The following is a 12,113-nucleotide window of genomic DNA, read 5'->3' as shown; positions in this document are numbered from 1 at the left end:
AGAGTCAGAGCCCAAACTAGAACCCAGGGTTTTTGTATTCCATTCCAGGGTTCTTTATGCTATATTACATAATTGTATATTGATACAAAAGATTAGCTTGGTATATAGTAAAATATATAGGGAAGGCTATTCATAAGCTGTACTTCTCATTCAGTCATTCATGTGTGTAAGTATACCTATATATATATATCAGGACTATACATTTTCAAGAAAACTGGACATGTTGAAAATTTTTTAATTATCCTCACAGAGCAAGAGCATTTGAGCCATGTTTTTCATCCAACAATCTTGCACTGGACTAATTCGTGCAAAGTGAATAATATCCTGAAAGGCAAAGGGCAGAATATGTGAGTCACACTGCTGAGGAGATAACTCATTCTATAGAAGCTTAAAAAAGAAAAAGAGAAACAAACCTAAGACAACAATGTTCAGTGGTGTGGTTACTTAATGCAATCAGTTTACAGTTCACACCAGTTTTCTAAAGAAGGCCATGTATAAAGGACCAGTTATGCCACGTAAGATGTCCTACTGAGGAGGAAATTAAATGTCTCCTGTCCAATACCTACTGGATTGGCTCTGATTTACCTAATAAATACAAACTTTCTCTCCCTGAATAATAGTTTTTCAGGCAGTAAGCTTTTGGCAAGAAAGGTGATGGCAGAGAGTTCTTCTCCCCCACAGTCATTATTTTTTTTCCTTATTATGTGCAAACAACTCCATTGATGTCCAGCGCCACCGAAGTTGTGGCAAAAGGAAGGTATTTTGTGTCAAGGCTGATTCTTTGATGAAGATGCACAGGATTTTGTGACTCTCAGTTTTAGGCCAAGGCAAGACAACAAAAGATCCTACTGGTGGTTACCATAACTTGTGGTCATTTTTTGTTGAGCCACAGAACTGGGAAATTCAGCAGAAGTGCATGAATTCTGTTCCATTTTAGATTGAAAATTTTAATGGCCTTTTGACAATTATGCAACTCCCACAGACTCCCTTTTTTGGCTATTCCATCATCAAGAGATCACAAAAATCAGTTTCACAAGCCCAGTGTTGAACATACAACTGGAGTCTGAGCATTTTTTGCCTCCTTAGCAAATAATGTTTCAGAATTTTTATTATTAATGTACTTTCTTTGTCAACAGTAAATTATTTTACACTACAAACTTTTGGGGAGGATAACAACAATTAGATCTAGAACACTTTTATTTTCAACTTCAGCTCTGGTTTCTCTATCAGGATAACGTTTATACAAAATAATTCAGAAAGTCTAAATAAAATGTGTTATGTGGAGAAATGCTTTTCTCAATGATCACTAAGAATTGGCCTATGAGTAGTGTAGGTATAATTAGAAACATTCGCAGGCAGAGGAAATCTTACATGAGCAACTTCTATAATAAACTCATTTGCTATCCAAGGAGATGTCCTGATCAATGTAAATCAGAGGCTTGCATAATTGTTGCAGGGGGAAAAATTGAACTATCTCTGTTCCCACTGTGAAATTTTCTATCAAAGTTCAACAGTGGAATGAGATCACCCTCAGACTCATCCACATCAATACCAACCAACTACATCAATCAGTGCATTAATTGAGCACCTGCTGGGGTGTGAAAATGGGAGAATGACTGGAGAGAGAGAGACATAAATCTGAGTCCTGGGTAATTCAATTTCTCTTCTGGGTCTTAGTTTCCTCTTAGGTAAAATGGAAGCATCTCTTGAACGAAATAGCATTTAATGAATTCCAAAGTCCCATCAGCTCTTATAATCTGTAATTCCATGACATGATCATCATATATGTTTAAATCTTTTTATTCCAAAAATTGGTGTGTACTTATTATTTTAAAGTATCTACAAGTTACAGAAAAATACGCAGAAAACATTTAAAACACCCATAATTTACACATGTACAAATCTATTAAAATTCAAAAAAATGTCTTTTCAGAGTTTTTTCTTATGCTTGTATGTAGGTAACTATGTGTCTATATGCATATATATACATACACACATATGTATTTATACACACAATATTTTTAACAGAAGGATTTACTGCACACAAATTTTTAACATCCATTTCTTCATGTAATAAATCACAAACATCTCCCCATGTTAGAAAGTGTAGGTCTACATTATTTTAAACTATTGGAGAGAATTCCATTATGTGTTTGTACCATCATATATTTCGACAGTTCTCCATTGCTAGACATTTAAAGTGTTTCTATTTTTGCTGTTATAAACAATGACAGAGTGAATATGCATATGCCTATATATTTGCCTATATAAGCAGATATTTCTGTGGGATAGAGACCCATAAGTAGAATTAATAGATCAAAGTATATGCACATTTTAAGGTTTTATACAGTACTTCTATTGTTTGGATTGCAAGTACAATGTCAGGAGCGTGAAAAAGTCCATTTCTTTCTCCAACGACTTACTGATGTGATTCAGGTACTATAAGAAATAATTTCAAATTATGTTTGCACTGGAGATTTTTTTCTTTTTTGAGACAGGGTCTTGCTTTGCTCTGTCACCCAGGTTGGAGTGCGGTGGGACAATCATGGCTCACTGCAGCCTCAACCTCCTGAGCTGAAGCAATTCTCCCACCTCAGCCTTCCAAGTAACTAACACGATAGGTGTGTGTTACCACGCCTGGCTAATTTTTGAGTTTCTTGTAGAGATAGGGTTTCGCCATGTTGCTCAGACTGGTCTCAAACTCCTGAGCTCAAGCAATCCACCTGTCTCGGCTTCCCAAAGTGCTGGGATTACCAGAGTAAGCAACTGCACCCAGCCTGTCCTGGAGATTTTTAAATAAAAGTTTGCTTTGATTTTTGTCCCTGCATTTTGAGATTTTACCAGTGACACCTATCCATGTAATTTCAGAAAAGTGTCAGATACATTTAAGATACCTAACTTGGCAATATCGCTATTCTCATCCTTATTGTGATGATACGTAGACCAGCAATATCTCCCAAATCTCCTAATAACTTTTAGTTGGTAAAAGTAGATCATTTGCTCAAATAATCTACTAAAGACTCAAGTTGGCTGAATTAGCCAAGTCAGTTATGATAAATTAAAAGCAGAGTTTAGTTTTTCTTTAATTTTTCCTTTCTTTTTTAAAAAATTTTTGACCTTTCTTTTTAAACAAAATGTTAGTGGTAAGTACTATGAAGTAAACAGAACAGGGTAAGGGAAAGAAGAGTTGTGTGATGTGTGGTGCTTTCACATGTAGCACTTCTTTGGGGAAGGGAAAGGTTAGGGAAGGCTTCTTGGAGGAGGTGGCACTGAAGCAGAGCTATGACTAAAGTTAAGAAGCCAGCCATGTGAATATCTGGAGGAAGAGTGATCCAGGCCATGAGAAGAGCAAATGCCAAAATCCCAAGTTGGAAACATTTTCTGGCATTTTACGTAACAGCTCTTAAGAAAGCCATTGTGGAGGATCTGGCAAGATGGCCAAATAGGAACAGCTCCAGTCTGCAGCTCCCAGTGAGACCCACATAGAAGGTGGGTGATTTCTGCATTTCCAACTGAGGTACCTGGTCCATCTCATTGGAACTGGTTAGACACTGGGTGCAACCAACGGACAGCGAGCAGAAGAAGGGTGGGGCGTCACCTCGCTCAGGAAGTGCAAGGGGCTGGGGACCTCCCTCCCCTTCCCAGCTGTGAGGCACCGTGCTATGTGGCCCAGCCATCATGCTTTTCCCACGGTTTTTGCAACCCACAGACCAGGAGATTCCCACGTGTGCCTACACCACCAAGGCTGTGGGTTTCAAGCACAAAACTGGGCAGCTGTTAGGGCAGACACCTAGCAAGCCACAGGAGTTTTTTTTTCCCTCATACCCCAGTGGCACTTGGAACCCCAGCGAGACAGAACCGTTCATGCCCCTGGAAAGGGGGCTGAAGCCAGGGAGCAAAGTGGTCTCGCTTAGTGGGTCCCAATTCCATGGACCCCGGCAAGCTAAGAACCACTGGCTTGAAATTCTCGCTGCCAGCGCAGCAGTCTGAAGTAAACTTGGGAAGATAGAGTTTGATGGGGGAAGGGGCGTCCACTATTACTGAGGCTTGAATACGTGGTTTTCCCCTCACAGTGTTAAGGAAGCCAACGAGAAGTTCGGACTGTGTGGAACTCACCACAGCTCTGCAAAGTGGCTGTGGCCAGACTGGCTCCCTAGATTCCTCCTCACTGGGCAGCGTATCTCTGAAAGAAAGGCAGCAGTCCCAGTCAGGGGCTTACAGATAAAACTCCCATCTCCCTGGGACAGAGCACCTAGGGGACGAGGTGGCTGTGGGAGCAGTTTCAGCAGGCTTAAACGTTCCTGCCTGTTGGCTCTGAAGACAGCAGCAGGTCTCCCAGCATAGCGCTTGAGCTCTGCTAAGGGACAGACTGCCTCCTCAAGTGGGTCCCTGACCCCTGTGCCTCCTTACTAGGAGACACCTCCCAGCAGGGGTCGACAGACACCTCATGCAAGAGAGCTCTGGCTGGCATCAGGCAGGTGCCCCTCTGGGACGAAGCTTCCAGAGGAAGAAGCAGGCAGCAATCTTTGCTGTTCTGCAGACTCCACTGGTGATACCCAGGTGAACAGGGTATAGAGTGGACCTCCAGCCAACTCCAGCCAACCTGCAGCAGAGGGTCCTGACTGTTAGAAGGAAAACTTACAAACAGAAAGCAGTAACATCAGCATCAACAAAAAGGATGCCCACCCAAAAACCCTATCCAAAGGTTATTAGCATCAAAGATCAAAGGTGGATAAATACATGAAGATGAGGAAAAAAACAGTGCAAAAAGGCTGAAAATTCCGAAACCAGAATGCCTCTTTTCCTCCAAATGATTGCAACACCTCTCCAGCAAGGGCGCAAAACTGAATGGAGAGTGAGTTTGACTTTGACGAATTGACACAAATAGGCTTCGGAAGGTGGGCAATAACAAACTCTTCTGAGCTAAAAGAGCATGTTCTAACCCAATGCAAGGATGAAAAGAACCTTGATAAAAGGTTACAGGAACTGCTAACTAGAATAACTGTTTTAGAGAAGAACATAAATGACCCGACGGAGCTAAAAAACACAGCACAAGAACTTCACGAAGCATACACAAGATCAATAGCTGAATTGATCAAGTGGAAGAAAGGTTATCAGGGATTAAAGATCAACTTAATGAAATAAAACATGAAGACAAGTTTAGAGAAAAAAGAGTGAAAAGAAACAAACAAAACCTTCAGGAAATATGGGACTATGTGAAAAAAACAAATCTACGTTTGATTGGTGTATCTGAAAGTGACAGGGAGAATGGAACCAAGTTGGAAAACACTCTTCAGGATATTATCCAGTAGAACTTCCCCAACCTAGCAAGGCAGGCCTACATTCAAATGCAGGAAATACAGAGAACACCACAAAGATACTCCTCGAGAAGAGCAACCCCAAGACCCATAATTGTCAGATTCACCAAGGTTGAAATGAAGGAAAAAGTGTGAAGGGTAGTGAGAGAGAAAGGTCAGGTTACCTACAAAAGGAAGCCCATCAGACTAACAGCAAATCTGTCTGCAGAAACCCCATAAACAAGAAGAGGGTGAGGACCAATATTCAACGTTTGTAAAGAAAAGAATTTTCAACCCAGAATCTCATATCCAGCCAAACTAAGCTTCATAAGTCAAGGAGAAATAAAATCCTTTACAGACAAGCAAATGCTGAGGGATTTTGTCACCAACTGGCCTGCCTTGTGAGAGGTCCTGAAGGAAGCACTAAATATGGAAAGGAAAAGCCTGTACCAGCCACTGCAAAAACATACCAAAATAAAAAGACCAATGACACTATGAAGAACCTGCATCAACTATTACGCAAAATAACAAACTAGCATCATGATGACAGGATCAAATTCACATATAACAATATTAGCCTTAAATGTAAATGGGCTAAATGCCGCAATTAAAAGACACAGACTGGCAAATTGGATAAACAGTCAAGACCCATTGGTGTGCTGTATTCAGGAGATCCATCTCATGTGCAAAGAAACAAATGGGCTCAAAATAAAGGGATGGAGGAATATTTAACAAGCAAATGGAAAGAAAAAAAAAGCAAGGGTGGCAATCCTAGTCTCTGATAAAACAGACTTTAAACCATCAAAGATGAAAAGAGACAAGGGCATTACATAACGTAAAGGGATCAATGCAACAAGAAGAGATAACTATCCTAAATATATATGCACCCAATACAGGAGCCTCAGATTCATAAAGCAAGTTGTTAGAGACCTACAAAGAGACTTAGACTCCCACAAAATAATAGTGGTAGACTTTAACACCCCACTGTCAATATTAGAGCAATAAAACAGAAAATTAACAAGGATATTCAGGACTTGAACTCAGCTCTAGACCAGGCATACCTAATAGACATCTACAGAACTCTCCACCCCAAATCAACAGAATATATATACATTCTTCTCAGCACCACATAGCACTTAGTCTAAAATCGACCACATAATTGGAAGTAAAACACTCCTCAGCAAGTGCAAAAGAACGGAAATCATAACAGTCTCCCAGACCACAGTGCAATCAAATTCGAACTCAGGATTGGAATACTATGCAGCCATAAAAAATGATGAGTTCATGTCCTTTGTAGGGACATGGATGAAGCTGGAAATGATCATTCTCAGCAAACTATCGCAAGGACAAAAAACCAAACACCGCGTGTTCTCACTCATAAGTGGGAAGTGAACAATGAGAACACTTGGACACAGGAAGGTGAACATCACACAATGGGGCCTGTTGTGGGGTGGGGGGAGGGGGGAGGGATAGCATTAGGAGATATACCTAATGTAAATAACAAGTTAATGGGCGCAGCACACCAACATGGCACATGTATACATGTGTAAAAAGCCTGCATGTTGTGCACATGTACCCTAGAATTTAAAGTATAATAAATATATATATATTTAAAAATAAATAATCTAATAATAAAAATAAAAATAGGAGAAAAAAAAGAAACACACTCAAAACTTTACAACTACATGGAAACTGAACCACCTGCCCCTGAATGACTACTGGGTAAATATGAAATTAAGGCAGAAACAAATAATTTCTTTGAAACCAATGAGAACAAAGACACAACGTACCAGAATCTCTGGGACACAGCTATAGCAGTGTTTAGAGGGACATTTATAGCACTAAATGCCCACAAGAGAAAGCAGGAAAGATCTAAAATGGACACCCTAACATCACAATGAAAAGAACTAGAGAAGCAAGAGCAAACAAATTCAAAAGCTAGCAGAAGACAAGAAATAACTAAGATCAGAGCAGAACTGAAGGAGATAGAGACACGAAAAACCCTTCAAAAACTCAATGAATCTAGGAGCTGGTTTTTTGAAAAGATTAACAAAATAGGTACACCACTAGCCAGACTAATAAGGAAGAAAAGAGAGAAGAATCAAATAGACACAATAAGAAATGGTAAAGGGGATATCACCACTGATCCCACAGAAATACAAACTACCATCAGAGAGAATACTATAAACACCTCTACACAGATAAACTAGAAAATCTAGACGAAATGGATAAATTCCTGGACACATATCCCCTCCCAAGACTAAACTAGGAAGAAGTCGAATCCTTGAATAGATCAATAACAAGTTCTGAAATTGAGGCAGTAAATAATAGCCTACCAACCAAAAAAAGCCCAGGACCAGAAGGATTCACAGCCGAATTCTACCAGAGGTACAAAGAGGAACTGCTACCATTCCTTCTGAAACTATTCCAAACAACAGAAAAAGAGGGACTCCTCCCTAACTCATTTTATGAAGCCAGCATCATCCTGATATCAAAACCTGGCAGAGACACAACAAGAAAAGAAAATTTCAGACCAGTATCCCTGATGAACATTGATGGAAAAATCCTGAATAAAATACTGGCAAACAAAATCCAGCAGCACATCAAAAGGCTTATCAAACAAGATCAAGTCGGCTGCATCCCTGGGATTCAAGGCTGGTTCAACATACGCAAATTAACAAACGTAATCTATCACATAAATGGAACCAATGACAAAAACCACACAATTATCTCAATAGATGCAGAAAAGGCCTTCAACAAAATTCAACAGCCCTTCATGCTAAGAACTCTCAAAAAACTAGGTATTGTTGGAATGTATCTCAAAATAATAAGAGCTATTTATGACAAACCCACAGCCAATATCGTACTGAATGGGCAAAAGCTGGAAGCATTCCCTTTGAAATCTGGCACAACACAAGGATGCCCTCTCTCACCACTCCTATTCAACATAATATTGGAAGTTCTGGCCAGGGCAATTAGGCAAGGGAAATAAATAAAGCGTATTTAAATAGGAAGACAGGAATTCAAAATTTGTCTCTGTTTGCAGAGGATATGATTGTATATTTAGAAAACCCCATCGTCTCAGCCCAAAATCTCCTTAAGCTGATAAGTAACTTCAGCAAAGTCTCAGTATACAAAGTCAATGTGCAAAAAGTTTAAGCATTCCTATACACCAATAATATACAAACAGAGAGCCAAATCATGAGTGAACTCCCATTCACAATTGCTACAAAGGAAATAAAATACCTAGGAATACAACTTACAAGGGATATGAGGGACCTCTTCAAGAACTACAAAATGCTGCTCAAGGAAATAAGAGAGGACATACACAAATGGAAAAACATTCTATGGTCATGGATAGGAAGAATCAACAACATGAAAATGGCCATACTGTCCAAAGTAATTTAGAGATTCAATGCTATTCCCATCAAGCTACCATTGACTTTCTTCACAGAACTAGAAAAAACTACTATAAATTTCATAAGGAATCAAAAAAAAAAAGAGCCTGTATAGCCAAGACAATCCTAAGCAAAAAGAACAAAGCTGGAGGCATCATGCTACTTGAGTTCAAACTATACTACAAGGCTACAGTAACCAAAACAGCATGGTACTGGTACCAAAACAGATATATAGACCAATAGAACATAACAGAGACCTCAGAAATAACACCACACATCTACAACCATCTAATCTTCAACAAACCTGACAAAAACAAGCAATGGGGAAAGGATTCACTATTTAATAACAGGTGTTGGGAAAACTGCCTAGTCATTTGCAGAAAGCTGAAAATGGATCCCTTCCTTACATCTTATACAAAAATTAACTCAAGATTTATTAAAGACATAAACATAAGACCTAAAACCATAGAAACCCTGGAAGAAAACCTAGGCAATATCATTCAGGACATAGGCATGGGCAAAGACTTCATGACTAAAACACCAAAAGCAATGGCAACAAAGTCCAAAATTCACAAATGGGATCTAATCAAACTAAAGAGCTTCTGCACAGCAAAAGAAACTATCATCAGAGTGAACAGGCAACCTACAGAATGGGAGAAAAATTTTGCAATCTATCCATCTGAAAAAGGTCTAATTTCTAGAATCTACAAGGAACTTAAACAAATTTACAAGAAAAAAACAACCCCATCAAAAAGGGGGCAAAGGATATCAACAGACACTTCTAAAAAGAAGACATTTATGCAGCCAAATACATATGAAAAAAAGCTCACCATCACTGGTCATTAGAGAAATGCAAATCAAAACCACAATGAGATACCATCTCACACCAGTTAGAATGGTGATCATTCAAAAGTCAGGAAACAACAGATGCTAGAGTGGATGTGGAGAAATAGGAACACTTTTACATTGTTGGTGGGAGTGCAAATTAGTTCAACCATTGTGGAAGACAGTATGGTGATTATTCATGGATCTAGAACCAGAAATGCCATTTCACCCAGCAATCCCATTACTTGGTATATATCCAAAGGATTACAAATCATTCTACTATAAAGACACATGCACATGTATGTTTATTGCAGCACTATTTACAATAGCAAAGACTTGGAACTAACCCAGATGCCCATCAATGATAGACTGGATAAAGAAAATGTGGCACATATACACCATAGAATACTATGCAGCCATAAGAAAATGAGTTCATGTCCTTTGCGGGGACATGGATGAAGCTGGAAACCATCATTCTCAGCAAACTAACATAGCAACAGAAAACCAAACACTGCATGTTCTCACTCATAAGTGGGAGTTGAACAATGAAAACACATGGACACAGGGAGGGGAACATCACACAGTGGGGCCTGTTGAGGAGTGGGGGTCTAGGAGAGGGATAGCATTAGGACAAATACCTAATGCATGTGGGACTTAAAACCTAGATGACAAGTTGATGGGCGCAGCAAACCACCATGGCACATGTATACCTATGTAACAAACCTGAACGTTCTCCACATGTATCCCAGAACTTAAAGTATAATAATATAAAAAAAGAATCATTATGTTTATATAAATATTTTGTTTTTTTTTAAAGAAATCCAGTATGGCTGAAGTATAGAACATAGTTATTGGACATGAGATATTAAACATGGATGTATCAAGTAAAGCTGTTAGTTAGTTGGATATATGGCATTTAGATTTCAGAGCAAGCTTAAACATCAGGTATTAAATTTGGGAATTACGCATGTATGATGCACAAAACTCAAAATTGTGGTTGAGTACAGCTTGAAAATGGACCAAGTATGTGTGATATGTATAAACATGAAAAGTTGGTGTTTGTTTCTGTTGAGTTCCTCTTAGAGGCAGGTGCCAAGACGAGATCAGCCATACAAGAGATTTATTGGGGAAAATGCCGTGAAGGATAAAATAGGAAAGGAGCAGGAGTAGGCAAAGGGAAACTTTAGATTTAATGCAGGTCTGACGCATTTGAAAGGAGAAAGCAAAGGAAGAGGTATTGAGTAGGAAGCACCTTTGACTATAGCACAGCTCTGAGAAAGTCTCACCCAGTGGATGGTGAGTACCCAAGCAAAGATTGTCCATTGGAATACAAAGTATGCCCATGTTCCATATCGGGCAGAAATGGCCCAGCTCTAGAACCCCTACTGTGTTCTAGACTCTCTCTTTGAGGAGCTGTGGGGAAACATGACCTTGGCATGAATGTCATAGTGAGTCTGAAGGTGTAGCAGCTGGAGGCTTTTGGCCGGCTATCCTCTTCTCAGCTCTTCCCCAAGAGAAAGGAGATCTGGGTAGTGTACTCCATGGCCACAGCAGTGTTCAAACTATTCTTTATCACTGTTCACAATTGTTTGGCTTTGGAAATCTGACAAGCAAACTGTTCTATTTGCTCCCATTTAAATTGGTAATAAGTGAAGTTATTTTTTTGGTTTGAGGATTTTCTAATTGAATCCTCTATGATGTAATGAGATTGTATAAGATTGATTTAATTCATAAGGTCTCACTTAACAGTGGAAGGATGGATAGAGGGAGGCAGGGATAGATGGATGGGTGGATGGATGGATGGATGGATGGATAGATGGATGGCTGGATGGATAACAGTTGAGGCATTTCAGAAAAGTATTTTGTCCTCTGGGCAGAAGGTGAAAGTATTGTGTCTGGACTTGTGAGAGAACAGGCAAAAAAAAAAAAAAAGTGTAATTCCAGAGAGGAGGCTAGAATTAATGAATTAATAGATTCCAATGAAGACAGTGAAAGGAAAAGCAATGTAAGTCTCCCAACCCTGTCCTTCATTCTTCTCACACAGATAAAAGCCAGCTCATGAGCTGAAGTCAGTTCTTTTTGCCCAATCTTAACTGTGGCTCCAAAAGCTCCTAAAGTTGTTGTCCTGGTATTTTATAGTAAAAGAGGAGCCTGTGTGCCTGACACAGTTGATCTGAAAGTAACTTCTAATTGCAAGAAGATAGGGAGCAAATTGCAAGTATCATTAAGGAAAATGACTGGTTTCAACACATAGCTAAAGTCAAGTAGACTGAGACAATTAATTCTGTTACTACTCAGTGCTGGCAAGTTAATTTATGACCCAACTTTCTAACGCCTGATTATTTCATGACTGGTTTTCTTTCCTATCAATGATTTTAATCTAGGTTTATCTCAAACATTTTATCTTAGCAATCTTTTCTAGATCAGAAAAGAAAGGGAGAAAGATGCATACTAAGCACTTGGGTGCCAGCATCAAATTCTCTGGGTTTGAATTCTGACTTCACCACTTACTAACTGTCACTTTGGGCAAGTGATTCTACCTTCCTACACCTTGGTTTCTTTGTCTCTAAAATGGGGATAATGCATATAAAGC

At 39.3% G+C, this 12,113-nt stretch overlaps 1 annotated feature.

Annotated features, from left to right (window-relative positions):
- Positions 3,740-4,241: an enhancer, noted in NCBI's record as "H3K4me1 hESC enhancer chr3:67192469-67192970 (GRCh37/hg19 assembly coordinates)". NCBI's record gives its function as "activates a minimal SCP1, AML or CMV promoter by ChIP-STARR-seq in primed H9 embryonic stem cells {active_cell/tissue: H9 hESC(primed)}" and the evidence as "EXISTENCE:reporter gene assay evidence [ECO:0000049][PMID:30033119]".

Source organism: Homo sapiens, chromosome 3, assembly GCF_000001405.40.
Source record: "Homo sapiens chromosome 3, GRCh38.p14 Primary Assembly".
In the NCBI taxonomy this organism is placed as follows: Eukaryota; Metazoa; Chordata; class Mammalia; order Primates; family Hominidae; genus Homo; species Homo sapiens.
The sequence above is the reverse complement of the archived record's forward strand: the minus strand, read 5'-3'. Positions and strand labels throughout refer to the sequence as shown.